The sequence below is a fragment of the Homo sapiens genome, chromosome 20, assembly GCF_000001405.40.
Source record: "Homo sapiens chromosome 20, GRCh38.p14 Primary Assembly".
In the NCBI taxonomy this organism is placed as follows: domain Eukaryota; kingdom Metazoa; phylum Chordata; class Mammalia; order Primates; family Hominidae; genus Homo; species Homo sapiens.
In genome coordinates, this window is record NC_000020.11 from 16,921,016 (window position 1) to 16,943,921 (window position 22,906).

Here is a 22,906-nt window from a genome sequence, read left to right on the forward strand (position 1 = left end):
GTATTGCAATATATTGATTTCTTATTAACACATTCATTAATGAGGTCTAGTGGCAAATCAATCAACTACCATAATTTTGAATAGTGGTAAATGTGAACAGTGTTTCAAGATCCCTGCAACAACTGTGATGTGATATAAAAGTATCTGTTATTTCCACTGGCTCCAAAGTCATGGATTCTAATAAGATAATTGTCATTTGTTGCCTAAATTAATTATCAAAATAAACGTCAAATCTCATTCAAAAGATAGCAAAAAATAACAATTTTTTTCCATATAGGTTTATAGGTCTTCTCTATCTAAAGGGTAAGTCTGCTCATTGGTTATGGCCACGCTCTTTGCATTATTTTTTCCTTTAGAAAAGGATAGTTGTGAATGTCAAAAATCTGAGGATACAGTGGTTCTATGGTAATAAATATTTGTTCCTTCAAATTGTTGTTGGCTTTTATTACTTGGGAAATTTTATAGGCTGTGTGTTGTTCAGTTGTGTTTAGTATACCACAATGTTCTTCCTAAATCAGATCTCAGGCTCTTTGGCATTCTGCTAGCAGAAGGCTGTCTTTAATCCTTCTCTTCGTTCCACAGGACCCCTGTAGCCTTCCTTGATGTTATCAATTTCTTAAATTTTTCCACAGGATTCTCTGATACCTAAATGTTCTGACATTCTAATACATCTACTTTTTATATGTAATTGGTGGTTTGAGAATGAAGATTGTGAGGTGAAAGGGAGTGATAGTAGGAAGTAAATAAATAAGGGGGAATGAAGAATGGTGAGCTGAGATCCAAAGATGGTTTTTTGTTGGTGCTTAGGAAATGTTGGAGTGTCCGAGTGACAGGGTTGGTATTGTAAACCCAGGAAACAGCTATGTTTTATCCCATTTCTCTGCCTTTCCTGGGAAAAACTGGGTTCTCTCCTTTTTGAGTAATTCTCTAAGTATCATGAGAGATGTCACAAAAAGATTCAAGAAATGAACACAGCCTAAAATACCTTGTCCACTTCCAAGGACTTTAAATATGTATTTATCATGCTTTGCTATGTGGGATTGATTAGGGTGTAGAGACCATTTATGCAAGAACATCTGAATACTACATTATTACATGTTTGCAGTGCACAAAAATATTTCCATTTAGAGCAGATTTAGGAAGTGAAAATCTGAGAATTAAAAAAAGCAAAGACAACCAGCCCAGTTATGCATAGCTGAGTGACCTATATTGGTTACAAAGTTTTTATCTCTTCATTAGAATTGTAAACAGAACTCTCTGCAAAAGAAAGGATGATGCTGTAAATACAATGGTATATAGCCAAGCAAGTCAGCCAAGAACACTGTTATTCTGGGGGAAGTTGAGAATGCAGAGGTTCCAATGGCTTTCATAGGGATTAAAAAAAAATGGAAGTAACAATTTTTTCCATGCAGAATGAAATGAGAGATGGTACCTGACTGATTCAGTGTCAAAGCTAAGTATTTATTTGTACCCATTTGCCTGTTTTCCTACTGTATCATCAAATACACATGATTAATTCAAAGCATTATTTCTTTTACTTGTTCATTTTTATATTACACAAGTAATAAATATTTGTTTAAAAAACACAAACAGTACAAGTAAAAGGAGAAAATTCTTTCGCCTTCTACCAATCTCATCCCTGGAGATAATAGCCTTTGTCAGTTTACTGTGTAATCTTACCTGATAGATTTCTAAATATGCATATCCACCTACATGTGTGTATGAACATGTAATCAAAATAGGATTTTTATACACATTTTTCTGCAATGTGTTTCTTTTACCTAAAATAACTGTCTTCCTTCTTCTTATATCTGTATTAGAAGAAAATTCTTATTTTTTTAAGAACTGTGCTATGTGAAATTCCATTGTATGGTTGCCCCATCATTTATTTAACATTCATCTAACGCCTGGCATTTAGGTTGTCTCCTACTCAATAAATATTGAGAATTTGTAATCCTCTAGGGATGCCGTGGAGGAGTACAAACCATATAAGGAAATTCCTCTCCTCTCAAGTAGTTTGAGGCTGGATATGTGAGTCAGACATATTGTGTAACAAATAGGCTTCAGATTTCAGCAGAGAATGCTAAGAATTCCCAATGCAACAGAATCTAATAGCCAACTGAATCAAAATAGTCTAAAAAAGAAAGATATTGTGCACGAGCATTTCTCAGTAGAAAATCCAACATATCACAATAGAATGGTTAAAGGGCAATTATTCATAGTAGAGATTTTTTCTTACAAAATATTTGATTTGTTAAGCATCCCTCTAGTACTTAAATCTTGATGTTTTTATCAGCAGCTTTTTGATACCCTTTAGGACACCTGCCAAGTAAAAGAAAGCTTGAATGTTAGGAACTCCTAAAGGTTGGAGCTATATCTTCATTTCCCAGATATTTAAGTGGAAAGATATAATTCAATATATTCAAAAGAGGTTCCCCTAGTGTGCTAGGAACTTTTAGCGTCTCTTCAGATCATCCCAGGCTCACCTGTCTCCAGGACTCTTGCTTCCTGGCTTTCACTTTGGAGAGCAACTTTAGGTAGACTCTCATCACTGTCAGTGCCACAGCAGACATTGTGCAGGAGCTGCCTGGCAGTACCTTGTCTCAAGCCCACAGCTTGAGCCTCTTGTCTTCAATACAGGGCTGTCTTCCATCTTGCCACTGAGGCTTAAGATATATCAAGACCTGCCTGGCACTCACAGGGGTGCATGGCAAGGTGAAGAAAAGTTAATGCCTGATGGGGTAGACTTTTGATCAGTGGGAGATGAAAGCTAGTGGATAAATTCTCCTCTTATTCCTTTGCCACCCTGCCAACAGACTGTCTTGAGACTCAGTAGCCCTTAAGGCCTCTCAGAAGCAGGATCCATGAAATAGTACAGTTAGCTGGTTTTATTATGAAGCAGTGGCCATCTCTATAGTGCCCTAACTCACACTTGCTCTGTTGTCTTCTCTGCCCTACTCCTTTCCCTCACTTCTGCTTCCCTGGAATTGTACTCCGTAATGCAGGAGTTTTCAGCTATGTTGATAAGCTGTTGTCTCAGAATCTGCTTTTGCAGAACACAGGCAAAGACAACATAAATTGCACAAAACATTATATAGTGCACATCGTCTGGTCATTACCTAGTACATAGCAACCATTTATTGAGCACCAACTAAGTGTGCTGCAATAGGGCCAAGTGCTTTATACGCCATTGAATAATCACCCTCTCTAGGAATAGGCTATTGCTATTAACTAAATTTTGTATTCTATAGGGAAGAAAACTGAGGCTCAAAGAGTGCCTCACTCAAGGTTGTATTAGATCACTTTCTAATTTGTTTCTTTCTTTATCCTAGCATGTTATTGTGATTGGTGGAGAAAAGAGGAGGTGGGGGATGCCTGCTCCACAAGATCACTTTAGCCTTCTTTGACCTCAAGATTCTCCATTCCTCAAGCTCTCAAGTGTGTGCATCAAGTTGCTAAAAATGGAGTCACTGAACAAGAAAGATAGGTTTTGAACTTAGAGTCGTATGCATGTGGCAAAGTAGCAGTGATGTTAGCTCAGAAAACCACTGATGCCCAATCAGGAAGGCTTGGCTCAGCCAATGTGTGATGCTGTTGTTCATGGCATAACGGCTCTCACACCTGGGGGATGAGAAAGGTTAGCACATGTTCTCCACTAAAACCATCCCCGACTTCGCCAAGTGCCACACAGGAGAGAGGGTCAAAGCTCTGCAACGAGGATCTTCAACTCTGGCCATTCTTGCTCGCTCATTGTAATCTCTGCTTCTGCCCTGTCTACTTTAAGGTGGGCCCAATCCTACACCAAGTTGTCGAGGAAAATCTTCCCTCCTCAACTGCTTGGCAGCCTTCTAAAAATAAGCCTTCCAACCTACCAGGGCCACCACACTGCTCAGCAATCATTTCTCTTGTCCTCAGTGCTCCCTATCATTCCATTCTGCAATGTAGCTGCTCCAAGCTTTTACTACTCTTCCGCCTTCTCTCACATTGTCCCCAGCCCAGCCCCACACTCTCAAGTGAAGGAAGACGGGAGCTCTTTACATTATTTCCTCTCCACAACACTAAATTTACCTAGGTCTTCCCATTTCTGCTAACTCAAAATTATGCTCTCTGTGGTGCTCCCAGGTAGCCTAGTGGGATGCAGGAGAAACCACAGAACTTCATGCTGGGCACTTTCCCTCCCTTCATTTTATATGGTACAAAATGTGTAAGAAAAAATACCATAGGATTTTTGTTGTAATCCTTTAAAAAATAATTAGCAAGCTTTTTGTGTGTGTGTGTCAGTCTTATTTATAAAAGTTGCTGCTGAGGGCAGTTACTTCTTTCATATGGATTCCTTGTGGAAGAGATGGACCCTCAGGTCAGGTCACTTCAATTGTGGTCACACCTAAGAAGTCAGGAACCTAGAAGTGAGAGAGATAAGCATCCAGTTTTTTTATTTTTCTTTTGAAATCAAGTCTCACTCTGTTACCCAGGCTGGAGTGCTGTGGCACAATCATGGCTCACTGCAGCCTCAAACTCCTGGGCTCAAGCAATATTCCCACTTCAGCTCCCAAGTAGCTGGGACTACAGGCACATGCCACCACACCCAGTTAATATTTTTACCTTTTTTGTAGAGATGGGTCTCACTATGTTGCCCAGGCTGGTCTTGAACTCCAGGGCTTAAGTGATTCTCTTGCCTCGGCCTCCCAAAGTGCTGGGATTACAGGTGCAAGCCACTGTGCCCAGCTCAGTTCTGTTTTAATTAACTATATAAATTGTACAAAATTTTTATAAAAGTTATCATCTCTTGAGTCACAGTAGGGTATAAAACATGGCACAGAAAACCCTCCGCAGCCAATTTATTTCTATGTTCATCTATTGCAAGAACAAATTGAGCACAGCAGCAGCCATGATAATAGCAGGCATCTGTGCTTTGGGCTGGTGAAAATAAATTAAATTTGAGGTTGGTCATGAGAGCATGTCAACAGCACTGCCTGTGAATTATTAAAATAAAATTCAAATAAGAGAAAGCAAAAGCCCTTTCCACAGAACTAAATTAAAGTTTAAATTAAAGCAACATTTTTTTCTTGGCAAAAATTTTCTAATTATTTTCTACCTCTAAGGTTTATTTCCATTAATCCTTCCTCTATGCAATTAAACACATGGAAAAATGCACAGTAAAATTTCACTAGTCTAGTTTAAAAGGAAGATATTTGTTTAACAAGGTTTGCAGTGGGCTTGACAATCAGATGCTTTAAAATGGGTTGACAGAGTGCTGCTTCATTGAGTTTCAGTGTCAGCAAATACTGATAGCTCACCTATTATGTGCTAGAAGCAGTATTGAGTGACTTAAACATAAATATCCAAAACAGTCCTCCGAGTTGGGTATTATCATTTACATTTTATAGAGAAAATCACAAAACTTCTTTAATATCTGACATTTAGTAAGCAGTAGAGATGGAATGGGTTCTGTTAGGGGTTAGATTTTGTTCCTTCAAAATTCATATGTTGAAATCCTGACTCCATGTACTTCAGAATATGACTGTACTTGGAGAATCAGTTTTTAAAAAGATTACTAAGTTAAGATGAAGTAATTAGGGTGGGTCCTAGAGAAACCAATCCAATTTTCCTCCCAGATAATATCAAAAAACTGAAACTTCCTAGATCACTGCGTCCAGACAATAAGACGCCAGGTCCCTTGTCTGAGCACCTGCTGTCTGTTGACCGACTCCTGTATAAACCCTTAACTTTAATTGGTTGGAGAAACAGATTTGAGACTTGTCCCCCATATCCTGGCTGATGTCACCTGCAATAAAGCCTTTCGTCCTTGGCAACGCTCATTTTCTCAGTGATCGGCTTTCTTTGTGGTGAGCAACCGGACCTAGGCCAAACCCCTGGCGTTTGACAACACTAATCCAATATGACTGGTGACCTTACAAGAAGAGGAGATTATGATACAGACACACAGAAGGCAGATCTTGGGAAGGCACAGGGGGCGGGCGGCCATCTGCAAGCCCAGGAGGGAGGCCTCAGAGGAAACTGATCTGCTGACACCTTGATCTCAGGTTCCTAGCCTCCAGAGTTGTGAGAAAATAAATCTTTCCTCTTTAAACCACCTACTCTGCGGTACTTTGCTATGCCAACAATAGCAAATTAACACAGGTTCAAACTCCACTCTCAGCACCAAAATCTATATTAGTTAACTAATGCTGCAGAGGAGATTACCACACTGTTAGTGGCTTAAAACAATAAATATTTATTGCCTCACAGTCTCTGTGAATCAGAAATTTGGGAGTGGCTTAAATGGACAGTTCTGGCTCATGGTCTCAGGAGGTTGCAGTCAAACTGTCACCTGCAGGTGCAATCATTGGAAGGTTTAACAGTGGCTGGAGAATCTGCTTCCATCATGGCCTCTCCATGGCTGTTAGGAGGAGTCCTTAGCTCTTCCTCACATTGGGTATCCTTCCTAGGACTGCTTGAATATTTTCAGGACTTGGTGGCTTCATGTAATTTAGAATTTCTTAACTCTCCATGATAACCAAAATAACAGAGTTTACCCTAGTTTTCTGACACTGGCATCCTTAATTTCCTTTCCAAACTTTCTTCATGAAAGTAGAAAGAAAATTTTACCTAACCTTGACCCACAAAAAGGGGTGACTAAGTAACTGAGATTTCTGGGCTTAGCTTAACATAGACATGGAAACTGCTCTCTTCCACCTTTAGGGTGTACACGGTGTAGCTTTGTAGTTAGGCTGTTTTGGTCCAAATCCTGGCTCTGCTTCTTATTAGGTCTTACAGCTTGGACCATTTTTAAAAACTTTTTTTGTGCCTTGGTTTCCTCATCTATAAAATAGGATGATAATAATAATAATTTTATACAGATGTAGCAAGGATTCTGTAAGCTAATACTTGCAACTTATTTACTTCCCAAGACTTGCTTTTCTTTGTGTTCTTTGGATTTTTCCTCCCTTTCCCTCCCTTCCTTCCTTCCTTCCTTCCTCCCTCCCTCCCTCCCTCCCTCCCTCCCTCCCTTCCTTCCTTCCTTCCTTCCTTCCTCCCTTCCTTCCTTCCTTCTCTCTCTCCTTGGTCCAACCAATGGTTTCTACTAGACACTGTAGACATGTGTTAATTTGGTTGTATCACTAAGGTCTAAAAAATATCACTGTGAATTGAATGAAACCTAGAGCATAAAAATCCAAGGGTTCTTTCTAAGTCAGCTGTTGGTTTTGTGCTTGCTATGGTGTTTGATTGCTCGGTGCTTACTCTTGCTACTTGCTATATGAATATGCATATATAAAAGGCCCAGGGCTTGGGGGTTCAGGCTATATTTTACTTTACTCACCATAAATTCCTGTGAAGTTTATATCTTAAAAAAATTCACTAAGAACAGTCAATAGTCACCCTGAATTCAAAGTTATAAAAAAAAATTCAATTAAAAGACATCAGTAAAGCACGTGTTAATTCAGACGAAGGTAAGAAAGCTCAACAAGAAAATGGTGATTAGGTAGGAACAGAACCAAACTAGTCTTTTGTTATTTTCTTTTTAATAGAGAGAGGGTCTTACTCTCTCACCCAGCCTGGAGTACAGTGGCACAAACATAGCTCATTACAGGCTTGAACTCCTGGGCTCAAGGGATCCTCCAAAGTTGGTGGGACTACAGGTCCACACCGCCACACCCAGGTAATAATTATTCTTCTTCTTCTTCTTTTTTTTTTTTTTTTTTGTAGAGACAGTTTCACTATGTTGGCCAGGATGGTCTCAAACTCCTGGACTCGGGTGATCCTTCAGCCCTGGCCTCCCAAAGTGCTGGGATAATAGGCTCACTCCTGTTAATAGAGGCTAAATGTGGATTATCACTTGATATGGTTTGGCTCTGTGTCCCACCCAAATCTCATCTTGAATTGTAATTCCCACATGTCTAGGAAGAGACCTGTAATCCCCATGTGTCAAGGAAGGGAGGTGATTGGATCGGGGTTGGGGCGGGGGCAGTTTCTCCCATGCTGTTCTCGTGATAGTGAGTGAGTTCTCATGAGATCTGATAGTTTAATAAGTGTTTGGAAATTCCTCCTTCATTCTTCTCTCTCTCCTGCTGCCATGTGGGGAAGGTCCTTGTTCCCTCTTCCACCATGATTATGGGTTTCCTGAGGCCTCCCCAGCCACGTAGAACTGAGTCAACTAAACCTCTTTCCTTTATAAATTACCCAGTCTCGGGTAGTATCTTTACAGTGTGTGAGAATGGACTAATACATCACTTTAATCCATATTTAACCTTGATGGTACCTGCATCATATGAAAGGGCTGTGTATTTGGTTCATGTAGGTGCCTATGTTATCAGGGGTTCTGGAGCCTGCAAGTCTTATCTTGGGTTGATCTCCAAAAAGAATACTTGCCTACATAAAAGTGAATTCAAGTAGCTTATTTAGCAGGTGATCCCAGGCAGCACTGGTAAGAGAGGGGAGGAGTGAGACAGGAAAGAGAAGGAGGGCAAGGAAGAGTTTGAATTCAGCACATTATCACTGTGGGCAACCAGGAATCAGTCCTGATGGTGACCTTTGGGAGACAATATAGAACATGCCTGAGAGCTGTCCAACCAAGTGGCAAAGGATCTGGGGTGTTAACCTACTGATTCCTGCCAGTTACTGGTTGGAAACTGCTCCTAGGGAGCATTAGCTCTCCAGCATTCCCAGTGAACCCCACACTTGGATTCTCAGGGCTACAGAAAGCCCTCATGCACACATAGGTGCTATGCTCAAGAATTGTGATTGTGAAGGGGATTGTGAAGGGGGTGCTTCTTTCCTAGAGTCAGGCTCTAATAGATATAATTTACAGAGATTTATCTTGTTTCTTACTCAATAATTAGTTGATACACAGTGAAAAAACAGGTAAAATGTATGCAGCCTAAAACACTGTGGTCATTAGTCACAGAGCACAAATATCCAGAAATTCTAAGAGGCAGCCAAGGCCACCTGAGTCATGACTGTGGCTGGTTCCACCCACCACCCTTCTACTTTCCTAATGCTGGGAGATCATTTTTCTTCTTCAAACATTGTATCATGTCTTGCATGGGATATTTGAAAACACTAAAATTTACTCTTTTTCTGCACCTGGAGATTTTATAGTTATTTTTCTAGTCTACAAAAGTGCCACAATTATAGAATATAAGGGTTTTTTTTAAAATGAATTCTGTCCTTGTATCAAATATTCAAGCCACAATAAATGTTTCTCAGAATTTCCCTGGTCATTCAAATGTGCATCTTAACTAAAGGTCTGTGACAACTGTTTTCCTTTTGAAAAATTATTTTTCTTCTTTTAATCGCCTATTTGAAAATATACGATAGTTTAATGTTGAAAAGCTCTTAGTAGGGGGCAGGGCCAAGATGACCAACTAGAAGCAGTGGTGATCAAAGGCTCCCATCAAAAAAACCATAATAGCATGTGAATCTTGCACCAGCAACTGAGGTAACCAGGTTCTCTCATCAGAACAGTCTAGATGACTGGCATTACCTGCGGAGAGGAAAGAAGAGCAGTGTGGTGCAGCTGCCCACCTGACAGCCACACAGGGTCGTGGAGCCCACATCCCCCAGCCAAGGGAGGTAGTGAGTGAGCATGCTACCCAACCAGGGAAACCGTGCTTTTTCCACGGAACTGTGCAACCCATGTATCAGAAGATCCCACTCATGAACCCATGCCACCAGGGCCTTGGGTCCCAACCCTGGAGCCATGCAGATTCTCAACAGCCTCTCAGCTAGAATCTGCTTAAACCTGCTGAGTTTCTGCGGGGAGAGACGACCAGCACCACAGCTGCAGCTGCCTGCTGTCTAAGCCATTTGAGCCCCTTCGGGGAAGGGCAACAGCCAGCTCTGGGACAGAGAGCTGCCTGACACACTAAGCTCCCTAGGCAAAGGAAGGGCGTCATCCCTCTCTGCAGCTCCAGGCTGTGCTTTTCCCCTGCTGGAGCCAGGGAGGCTGGATAGCTTGTCCTAAGAAGTGTCCCCCATAGCCCAACACACCAGCTGTGGCAGACTACAGCCAGAGTGCCTCTTCAGGCCTGACCCTGACCCATCCCTTCTCACTGGGCAGGGACTCCCTGCAGGAACTCCAACAACTCCAGCCAGGGGCTCAGGGACAGAACTCTGATCTCCCTGGGCCTGAGGCCCTAGAGGGAGGAGTGGTTGCAGTCTCTGCAGACCAGAAGACAGCATTTCCTCCTGCTAGCTCTGAAGAATCTGGGCAGCCAAGATGAGTGGGTTTCCCCACAGCAAAGCACATCCCCTCCACCAAGGGACAGCCAAAGTGCTTTGTTAAATGAGTCCTGTTCCCCATGCCACGCAATAGGGTTTGTCAGACACCCTATGCAGGAGCGATCCTACTGTCATCGGGTTGGTGCCCCTGGAGGTCAGAGATCCCAGAGGAAAGAGCAGGCACCCACCTTTGTTGTTCTCTAGCCTCCTTGAGTGACATCTCCAAGCACATGAGCAAACCAAATGAATAGGGCCTGAAGTAAACCCCCAGGAAACCGCACCACCCCTTCAGAAAATGCACCTGATCATTGAAGGAAAAACAAACAAACAGAAAGCAACAACAGCATCAACAACAAAAAAAGTCCCCACAAAACCCCATCCAAGGGTCAGCAGCTTCAAAGATCAAAACTAGACAAACTCATGAAGATGAGAAAGAATCAATGAAAAAATGCTGAAAACCCAAAAGGCCAGAGCTCCTCTTCTCCTCCAAATGATCACAATGTCTCTCCAGGAAGGATGCAGACCTGGATAGAGGATGAGATGGATGAACTGACAGAAGTAGGCTTCAGAAGATGGGTAATAGCAAACTCTGCTGAGCTAAAGGAGCATGTTCTAATCCAATGTAAAGAAGCTAAGAACCTTGATAAAAGGTTAGAGGAGCTGCTAACTAGAATAACCAGTTTAGAGAGGAACATAAATGACATGATGGAGCTGAAAAACAGCATGTTAACTTTATGAAGCATACACAAATATCAATAGCTGAATTGACCTAGCAGAAAAAAGGATATCAGAATTTGAAGACCATCTTGCTGAAATAAGGCATGCAGACAAGAATAGAGAAAAAAATGAAAAGGAACAAATGAAGCCTTCGAGAAATACAGAACTGTGTAAAAACACTGAACCTACGATTGATTGGAGTACCTGAAGGAGATGGGGAAAATGGAAACAAGCTGGAAAACACACTTCAGGATATTATCCAAAAGAACTTCCCCAACCTACAAGACAGGCCAACATTCAAATTCAGGAAATACAGAGAACACCACTAAGATACTTCTTAAGAAGATCAACCCCAAGATACATAATCATCAGATTCTCCAAGGTTGAAATGAAGGAAAAAATGTTAAGGGCAGCCAGAGAGAAAGGCCAGGTCATCTACAAAGGGAAGCCCATCAGACTAACAGCAGATCTCTCTGCAGAAACCCTACAAGCCAGAAGAGAGCAGGGGCCAATATTCAACATTCTTAAGGAAAAGAATTTTCAACACGGAATTTCATATCCAGCCAAACTAAGCTTCATAAGTGAAGAAGAAATAAAATCCTTTCCAGACAAGCAAATGCTGAGGAATTTCATTACCACCAAGCCTGCCTTGCAAGAGCTCCTAAAGGAAGCACTAAATATGGAAAGGAAAAGCAAGTACCAGCTACTGCAAAAACACACCAAAATATAAAGACCAATGACACTATGAAGAAACTGCATCAAACAGTGTGCAAAATAACTAGATAGCATAATGATGACAGGATCAAATTTACACATAACAATACTAACCTTAAATGAAAATGGGCTAAATGCCCCAATTAAAAGATACAGACTGGCAAATTAGATAAAGAGTCAAGAACCTTTGGTGTGCTGTATTCAGGAGACCCAGTTCACATGCAAAGACACACATAGACTCAAAATAAAGGGATGGAGAAAAATTTACCAAGCAAATGGAAAGCAAAAGAAATCAGGGGTTGCAATGCTAGTCTCTGACAAGACAGACTTTAAACCAACAAAGATCAAAAGAGACGAAGGGCACTACATAATGGTAAAGGGACCAATTCAACAAGGAGAGCTAACTATCCTAAATATATATGCACCTAATACAGGAGCATCCAGATTCATAAAACAAGTTCTTAGGGACTTACAAAGAGACTTAGATTCCCACACAATAATAGTGGAAGACGTTAGCACCCCACTGTCAATATTAGACAGATCAATGAGACAGAAAATTCACAAGGATATTCAAGACTTGAACTCAGCTCTTGATCAAGTGGACCTAATAGACATCTACAAAACTCTCCACCCAAATCAATAGAATCTACATTCTTCTCAGTGCCACATAGCACTTATTCTAAAATCAACCACACAATTGGAAGTAAAACACTCCTCAGCAAATGCAAAAGAACTGAAATCATAACAAGCAGTTTTTCAGATCACAGTGCAATCAAATTAGAACAGGATTAAGAAACTCACTTAAAACCACACAATTACTTGGAAATTGAACAACCTGCTCCTGAATGATTCCTGGGTAAATAACGAAATCAAGGTAGAAATCAATAAGTGCTTTGAAACCAATGAGAACAAAGAGACAATGTACCAGAATCTCTGGGAAACAGCAGTGTTAAGATGGAATTCTATAGCACAAAATGCCCACATCAGAAAGCTAGAAAGCTCTCAAATTGACATCCAAACATCACCAATTAAAAGAGCTAGAGAAGCAAAAGTAAACAAATCCAAAAGCTAGCAGAACACAAGAAATAACTAAGATCAGAGCGGAATCAAAGGAGATAAAGACAAGAAAAACCTCCAAAAAATAAATGAAACCCGAAGCTGTCTTTGGAAAAAATTAACAAAATAGATAGACCACTAGCTAGACTAAAAATGAACAAAAGAGAGAAGAACGAAATAGACACAATAAAAAAACGATAAAGAGGATAGCACCACTGACCGCAGAGAAATACAAACTACCATCAGAGAATACTATAAATACCTCTATGTAAATAAACTGGAAAATCTAGACAAAATGGAGAAATTCCTGGACACAAAAACCCTCCCAAGACTAAACCAGGAAGAAGTGAAATTCCTGAATAGACCAATAACAAGTTCTGAAGTTGAAGCAGTAATTAATAGCCTACCAACCAAAAAAAAAAAAAGCCCAAGACCAGGTGGATTCACAGCCAAATTCCACCAGAAGAACAAAGAGGAGCTGGTTTCATTCCTTCTGAATCTATTCCAAACAATTGAAAAGGAGGGACTCCTCCCTAACTCATTTTATGAAGCCAGCATCATCCTGACACCAAAACCTGGCAGTGATACAACAACAACAAAAAAAACCTCAGGCCAATATCCCTGATGAACATCAATGCAAAACTTCTCAATAAAATATTGGCAAACCAAATCGAGCAGCACATCAGAAAACTTATCCACCACAATCAAGTCAGCTTCATCCCTGGGATGCAAGGCTGGTTCAACATACACAAATCAATAAATATAATCTATCATATAAACAGAACCAAAGACAAAAACTACATGATTATCTCAATAGATGCAGAAAAGGCCTTTGATAAAATTCAACATCCCTTAATGTTAAAAACTCTCAATAAAGTAGGTATTGATGGAACATATCTCAAAATAATAAGAGGTATATCTATGACAAACCCACAGCCAATATCATATTGAATGGGCAAAAGCTGGAAGCATTCCTTTTGAAAACTGGCACAAGACAGGATGCCTTCTCTCACCACTCCTATTCAACATAGTATTGGAAGTTCTGGCCAGGACCATCAGTCCAGAGAAACAAATAAAGGGTATTCGAATGGGAAGTGAGGAAGTTAAATTGTTTCTATTTGCAGATGACATGATTGCATATTTAGAAAACTCCATCATCTCAATCCCAAATCTCCTTAAGCTGATAAGCAACTTCAGCAAAGTCTCAGGATACAAAATCAATGTGCAAATCTCACAAGCATTCCTATACACCAATAACAGACAAACAGAGAGCCAAATCATGAGTGAACTCCCATTCACAATTGCTACAAAGAGGATGAAATACCTAGGAATACAATTTACAAGGGATGTGAAGGACCTCTTCAAGGAGAACTACAAACCACTGCTTAAGGAAATAAGAGGGGACACAAACAAATGGAAAAAACATTCCATGCTCATGGATAGGAAGAATCAATATCGTGAAAATGGCCATACTGCCTAAAGTAATTTATAGATTCAATGCTATCTCCATCAAGCTACCATTGACTTTCTTCACATAATTAGAAAAAAACACTTTAAATTTCATATGGAACAAAAAAAGAGCCCGTACAGCCAAGACAATCCTAAGCAAAAAGAACAAAACTGGAGGCATCATACTACCTGACTTCAAGTTGTACTACAAGCCTACAGTAACCAAAACAGCATGGTACTGGTACCAAAACACATATATTGACCAGTGGAACAGAACAGAGGCCTCAGAAATAATGCCACACATCTAAAACCATCTGATCTTTGACAAACCTGACAAAAACAAGCAATGGGGAAAGGATTCCCTATTTAATAAATGGTGTTGGGAAAACTGGCTAGCCATCTGCAGAAAACTGAAACTGGACCCCCTCCTTACAGCTTATACAAAAATTAACTCAAGATGGATTAAAGACTTAAATGTAAGACCTAAAACCATAAAACTAAAGAGCTTCTGCACAGCAAAATAAACTATCATCAGAGTAAACAGGCAACGTACAGAATGGGAGAAAATTTTTGCAATCTGTCTATCTGACAAAGATCTAACATCCAGAATCTACAAGGAACTTAAACAAATGTACAAGAAAAAAAAAACAACCCCATCAAAAACTGGGCAAAGGATATGAACAGACACTTCTTAAAAGAAGACATTTATGCAGCCAAGAAACATATGAAAAAAAGCTCAACATCACTGATCGTTAGAGAAATGCAAATCAAAACTACAATGAGATACCATCTCATGCCAGTCAGAAGGGTGATTATTAACAAGTCAAGAAACAATAGATGCTGGTGAGGCTGTGGAGAAATAGGCATGCTTTTACACTGTTGGTGGGAATATATATTAGTTTAACAATTGTGGAAGACGGTGTGGCAATTCCTCAAGGATCTAGAACCAGAAATACCATTTGACCCAGCAATCCCATTACTGGGTATATACCCAAAGGAATATAAATCATTCTGCTATAAAGACACATGCATACACATGTTTATTGCAGCACTGGAACCAATCCAAATGTCCATCAATGATAGACTGGATAAAGAAAATGTGGTACACCATGGAATACTATGCAGCCTCAAAAATTAATGAGATCATGTCCTTTGCAAGGTCACGGATAAAGCCAGAAGCCATCATCCTCAACAAACTAACACAAGAACAGAAAACCAAACACCACATGTCCTCACTCATAAGTGGGAGTTGAAATACGAGAGCACATGGACACAGGGAGGGGAACAATACGTACTAGGCCCTGTTGGGTTGTGGGGGGCAAGGGAAGGGAACCTAGAGAATGGTTCAATAGGTGCAGCAAACTAACATGGCACACGTATACCTATGTAACAAACATGCACGTTCTGCTCATGTATCCTGGAACTTAAAGTAAAAGTAAAAATAAAAATAAATAAATAAAGCTCTTAGTTTATCCTGTAATAGAATATTCTCTCACCTTCTTTTTATTGTCTTGATTAAAAAGGACAATTATCATAATTTAAATATGTGTATATAAGAATATTCTCCTCTCAAGGCATATCATCAAATAAAACAATTTTATCAACTTTTTCTATAAACACATTTAAATATACAGAAAGTCAAAAGAGAAGTTCAATGAGCACATATAACCCCACAACCTGGACTCAGCAATTATTAACCTATTTCCATATTTGTTTTATTTCTTTTCTTTTCTTTTTGTTTTTTTAGAAGGAGTCTTGCCCTGTTGCCCAGGCTGGAGTGCAGTGGCACAATCTCCGCTCACTGCAAGCTCCACCTCCCAGGCTTACACCATTCTCCTGCCTCAGCCTCCCAAGTAGCTGGGACTACAGGTGCCTGCCACCATGCCCAACTAATTTTTTGTATTTTTAGTAGAGACGCGGTTTCATCATGCTAGCCAGGATGATCTCCATCTCCTGACCTCATGATCTGCCCACCTCGGCCTCCCAAAGTGCTGAGATTACAAGTGTGAGTCACCGTGCCCGGCACCTATTTCTTTTTATATATATATATTTTTAGTAGCTGACATCATGAAACATTTTCTCTAAGTATTTTGTCATTTGTTTTCTAAAATAAGAATATTCTCCTACAAAATCACAATATTATTATTCTACCTAAGAAAAGCCACAATCATTTAATAATATTATCTAAACTAGGTAATATTAATATTATCTTGATTAGATAACTAGACTATAGTCATATTTCTCCATTTTTACGTGTCTAAGTCTGTTTTATGTTGCTGTAACATAATATCACAGACTGGATCATTTATAAAGAGTAGAAGTTTATTTAGCCCCCATTTCTGGAGACTGGGAAGTCCAAGAGCATGGCACCAGCACCCGGTGAGGGCTGTCTTCCTATATCATAACATGGTGAAGGGTATCACATGGAGAGAGGGCGAGAGTGTGCCAGCTCAGATCCCTTGTCTTCTTCTTATTAAGCCACCAGTCTCATCATGGGGGTCCCACCCTGATGACCTTATCTAACCCTAATTAACTCTCAAAGGCCCCACCTCCAAATACCATTAATATGTGAATCTGGGGATTAAATTTCCAACACATGAAATTTGGGAGACACATTCAAACCACAATATTACCTAAAATATCTTTTCTAGAAATATTTTTTCAAACCAGAATGTTTAATCTAGCGTGATCTTCCTCAGATATGTTTTTTTCCCCATAGCATTTACTTCTTTAAGAGATCAAACCAGCTATCTTGTGGCATGTCTCTTATTCTAGATTTCTCTCATTGTTTCTTCAAGGGATTTAATTTGTTCCTATTTCTCTTGTATGTCTTACAGGCTAGAAAGAAAATCCAAAGGCTTGATTAAATTACAAAGATATTAAACATTGTTGGTAATAATTCTTCATAAATGATGCTGCCTAATTCATTTTACATTACATCAGGAGGCATATAAAATCAGATGGTCCCACTATTTGTGATAAATGCTGTTGTTGGTTAAGGTGGTGGCTTATGGATTTCTCTACCAGAAAGATACATTTCCCATTGCCACTGCCAATCTATGGAGTGATATTCTGGCATAAGTCCTAATATAGTTTTAACTTATATTTTTATAACTAGAGGTTGATAAACAATATTGAAGTATATAACTTCTGATTTTTACAAGTTGCTATTGTCCACATAGCATTCATCTCTTTGTTTCTGTATAATAAATGTGTTCAACTACATTACAGTCAGCAAACTAAAGCCCATGGACCAAATCTGGCCCACTTCCTGTTTTCATAAATAAAGTTTTATTGGGACACAGCCACTCTCATTTATTTACATATTATCTGTGACCTTTTTTTTTTTTGTATCGTGTCAGCAGAGATGAGTATTGTAACAGAAATCCTATGGCCCACAAAGCCAGAAATATTTACTCTTTATAAAAAAAAATTGCCCCCTTCCCACCCCAGAATTAGACGGTCTCAGATCTCTCTGAGTGCTAGCATTGTATTTTGCATATTCCTGCCAGATTATCTAGCACCAAATCTGGCTGGTGAGTACCTAGATTCTTACAATAGCTTTATTGAGGAATAACTGGCATACAATAAGTTGCACATATTTAAAGTGAATAACTTGAATAGTCTGACATACTAATATATCTGTGAAAACATCACTATGATCAAGATATTGAATAAATCTGTCACCCACAAGTTTCCTTACATCCCTTTGTCATCTCTTTCCCACTCCACAGTAACCATTGGTCAGCTATAGTTACCATAGATTAGTTTGCATCTTCCAGAATGATATATAAAAGGAGTATATACAGTATGTACTCTTCTTTTGTTTGGCTTTTGTCACTCAGCATAATTATTTTGAGATTTATCCACGTTCCTGCATGTGAAGGAAACCAAAATATTTCACAACATCCTAAGCCCCACCTGCAACCAACTGAAGAGACCCTTTCTTAGCCAAGAGGAGCCCAGAAAAACCTTAAAAATGGAATTCCCAGTCACGATGGGAAGGGAGGTTGAACACACTTCATTATACCCCCTCTCTTTTGGAATTTACACACAACTGACCAGCATTAACGTTTCAGTAGAGATCACAAGACTGACAGAATGGACTCTTTGTGGCAGTAAGATACCAAAGTATAAAAGACCTAAGGCAATGCAAGGCCAGGATTAAGTCACACCCTACAAACCAAAAAATCTTGTTAAACTTTTTTAAATTAACCTGATACAACGTAGCTTAATATCCAACCTGACTATGGTATAGCATCACATGACAGACAGTAGGACCCCTTATCTTAACATAAGCATTCCTTTGTATTGACTTCAAGTCTTTAGACAAAGCACAACTCTTTCAACCAATTGCTAACTAAAGATTTCCTAAAATCCACCCATGACTGTATAGCAGGTAGGCAGACATAAGCAGGGAAGGAGAGCACCCCTGTCCCCAACCAGGAATGTCAGGCGATCATCAGGTGATGGTCAGGCAGTTGTTTACTGTCTCTAAAGTAATAACTGGTTGCAGCCAGTGCCAGGGAAAGGCAGTCTCCCTGTAGATAAAAAAACCCCTGAATCTGGTGATCAGCAGCTTCCTGATAAGAACTCAGGAGTTGGGTGAGTGGGCTCACACATGCACATTAAGAGGCAAAATGGCAGAGTGTAACTGGTATATGACCTCCTAAGGAAATACAGCTGGTAAGGGAAGAACATCTTTGGTAAGCATTCATACAACTCCGGGAAACACACTGTGCTTGCTCCCCTCCCAAGTGCTAGCAAGCACTGCACATGCAGACAACCCACCCCAAGGGAAGAATCAGGGGAGAAGGGACACAAGACCCTGGAAGTGTGCCAACATATAAAACCCCAAGTCAAAAGGTCAAACCCCGCGCTTGCCCTCCAAGGTGCCCATGTGGCCCTCATCTAATTGTGCTTTACTTTCTTTTCATTCCTGCTGTAAAGCTTTTTAATAAATTTTCATTCCTACCCTAAAACTTGCCTTGGTCTCTTTTTCTGCCTTCTGTCCACCAGTCGAATTCTTTCTTCTGAAGAGGCAAGAGTTGAGGTTGCTGAAGACCTGTATGAATTTGCCACCAATAACTAGACTACCTGCCACCACTAACATGACTTGTAAGCTTTGAGATGTCCCATATCTGTGGGCTAAACCAATGAATGCTATCCATGTATTGATGTATAATTTTACCTACAATTCCTCTCTTCCTAAAATGTGAAAAACCAAACTATAACCTGACTGCCTTAGGACCAGTTAAGGTTTCTTTGATTTGTGTTTTCTGTGGGCTGTGGTCACTCATATTGGCTCAAAATAAACCTCTTTAAGATATTTTACAGAGCCTGTTTTTTCATTAACACCCCAGAATATGCTTCTCTGATGTATTTCAAGATGGCTATTCAGGAGGTCTGGAAATATAAAAATGGCTGAAAAGCCATCTTTTGTGGGGGAGATTTGCATCTGTAGAGAAAATCTGCACTGGCACAGCCAAGCTTTCTCTGAGGTCCTCCCTTGTCCAATCTAGGAAAGATGAACTGAGACATTGACACCTTTAAAGTCTGAAAGAAACCTATACCATCTATTCTCTCTGAGGGCTGCCACCTGAGAGGTTTCATCTACATAACAAGACCACCTTTGCTAGCCACGTCTCCTCTTCTCCCACTGCCATAACCCACTTGCCACCATCCAAGCCCTATTCTTTCTGTAACCTCAAGATGGTATAAAAGCTCAACCATCTTGCCTTTCTTTAAGATCTTATATATTTTGTTCCACAAGATAATGCCTGCCTCTCAGGCTCATTCAAATTCAAAAGAGAATCATTTACAAGTTAATTCCTGTCTCCCTGGTTCATTCTTTCTCCCTAATACTCACTTACTGTCCTGCAAGAGAATTGTCTACATTCCTCATATCCTCCCTCCCTTATGAAAAAGGTATATAAGCTTCTTCAACTCATTTAGGGGGTTGGGGTAAACACTCCATGGTTCTCCTCATGCATGTTAATAAATCTGTATGCAATTTCTCCTATTAATCTGCCTTCTATATGTTGATTTTCCAGCAAACCTCCAGAGGGCAAAGGGGAAGCTTTCCCTTGGCCCCTATACCTGTCTCCTTTTTTATTGCTGAGTGTTATTCCATTGTAGAAATATACTACAATTTATTTGTTCGGTCACCTGTTAATGGACATTTGGGTTGTTTCCGGTTTTACGTTACTACAAATCAAGCTGCTATAAACATATTGTACAAGACATTATATGGACACATGCTATTATTTTTCTTGAGTGAATATCTAGAAGTGAACTGTCTGGATCATATGGTAGTGTGTGTTTAACTTTTAAGAAACAGGGCAGGTCTTTAAAAATGTTTATAGTGACTTCACATTCAGAAGCCTCTGTCATTTAGGGTTGTGTTTCATTAACTTTTTATTGTTTTTAAATCCCAAGATAGAAAATTATACCAACAGTCAAGAGAAATTCATGAACTCTGATCATTTATATTAGTAAACATAATGTACATATAAATAAACTGGCACAAAGTACATATTGCAGTCATTTTCAAATGATACTTTGAAATTAGTTAATTCTAGTTTAAGATACTTTGTAAGTAATTATATGTTTCAAGGATTCTCTTCCTTCTCAGAAGCTACTTCAGTGATTAAAAAGCTTAAAAGGTTGATGTCTATGTTTTATATTTCCAAAAATCTCAGAATACAACCACAGGTTCTGAAACTTCATGGTATTGAGGATCCTTTTCTTTGAGTTGGGAGCCACTTAAGGGTCTTCTCATTATTTTGGAGGATTCAACCAGATCTTTTTAATTGTCTGGTGGCAAATAACAGGTGGCAACTCTGGCTAGCTTTTTAAAGGAAAATGTATTGTCAGGGTGTGGTCCAGCTCCCAGGATGAAGAAAGTTGAAGAACTGGGTTTGAAAGAGGTGAGACCCAGGGAATCAGAGTGCCTTCTCCAGGAGCATCTCCACAGCCTCCCAGGGCTACAACACTCAAGGAATTCAGCTGCAGCAGTTTCTTTCCTCCTTGCATCTCTCAACTCAAGTTTCAAAGTCTGAGAATGAAGCAACCTCTGCACCAACATCAGAACATGAGCTATGCACGTGGATGCACCAGGATAGCAAAAGGAAGGGTCTAGCAAAAGAAGTCTTCAAACTTGCCATTAACTATTAGCATGCCTGTGCAAGCAATTGGGTGTGCCATCCCACCAAGACTGCACAGAGTGGAGGAGAGTTCATCACCCCCAGGAAACTGAAACTGTCAGAAAAGGCAAATGAATGCTGCTCTGCCTAAAGGCTGACAACCCCTTATATAGGCAAGTGGTGTTAGAAGAGATGCATTCTATTCTCTTCAAGTTCAATCAGATCTTAAAACCCACTTTAGCTTTCTATCTAATGGTTATCAAGAAAAATGTGTTCTTTCTGCTTGACCTTCACTTCTTCAAACAGAAAACAAAACCACAGTGTCTGAGGGAGCTAAATAGAGCTCAGATACACATGAGAAATCCTGGCTTATCATTTTAATGGAAGACTGACCCTGTGCAGGCCAGCATTGACAGTAGCACCAGACTATTGGCTGTTGTACAGAGTCCTGACTCAAGCAGCAGGTACCTTATTTGCAATTAAAACCCTTGACTGAGAAGAATAACCTTCCACTTTCAGCAAACCGCAGGTAGCTTCTATTCTGCAGCATGTGGGACTGCACTAAGACTTGTGAGAATTGCACAATGTTGATGGCATGTGGAATGTTGTGCAATAGCACAAGTTCTCATATGCTAGGAGAGAGTTTAGGTTTGAGACCCCTGAGAACTGGGAATGGATGAGATGACTGTTAAATATATAATCCTATGATGTTTAAAGACAAAAAGATAAGGTAAGAACATGTTTCTGTCCTACGAGATAACTTTGTTGCTCCTAGTTACAGAAACTCTTAACTGCACTTTGTTCAGTCTGAGGAAAGACTTGAATAAATAAAAATAGCTAGCAGTAGAAGGAATGTCCTTGTGCACAGTTGTATAAAGTTTTAACATTAGCTTGCACCTTTTCAGACAACATTTTCTAAGTATTTGAAAAACTAAGTTTAGACTTACAGAAAAGTTGCAAATATACAAAGAGAGCTCCCGAATATCCTTTACCCAGATTTCCTTAAGGCTAACATCTTATGTAATTTGGTACAACTATCAAAGTCAAGAAATTAACATCAATGCAGTACTATTAACTAATCTACAGATGTTATTTGAATTCTGCCTGTTTTCCCACTAATGTCCTTATTGTGGTCCAGGATCTAATCCAGGATTCCACATTGCAATTAGTTATTGCGTCTGCTTGGTCTCTTCTAATCTATGACAGTTTTTCTTTTTCTCTCATGGCCTGGGAACTTTTGAAGTATACAAATCAGTTGTTTTGTGGAACACTCTTTAATTTGGTTTTGTCTGATATTTCTCTCAGAATCAGAGTGAGGCTATGCATTTGTTATGAATTGAATGTTTGAGTCTCCCCCAAATTCACATGTTGAAATCCTGACTTGTAGTATGACGGTGTTAGAAGGCCAGGCCTTTTGGGAAGTAATTAGGTGATGAGGGTGGAGCCTCAAGAATGGAACTAGTGCTCTAATAAGAAGAGATTGCCAGGCGCTGTGGCTCATGCCTGTAATCCCAGCACTTTGGGAGGCCGAGGTGAGTGGATCACCTGAGGTCAGGAGTTTGAGACCAGCCTGGCCAACATGGTGAAACCCAGTCTGTACTAAA

At 39.8% G+C, this 22,906-nt stretch overlaps 1 annotated feature.

The window, feature by feature from the left end:
- Nucleotides 9,411-9,986: an enhancer, noted in NCBI's record as "H3K27ac-H3K4me1 hESC enhancer chr20:16911071-16911646 (GRCh37/hg19 assembly coordinates)". NCBI's record gives its function as "activates a minimal SCP1, AML or CMV promoter by ChIP-STARR-seq in primed H9 embryonic stem cells {active_cell/tissue: H9 hESC(primed)}" and the evidence as "EXISTENCE:reporter gene assay evidence [ECO:0000049][PMID:30033119]".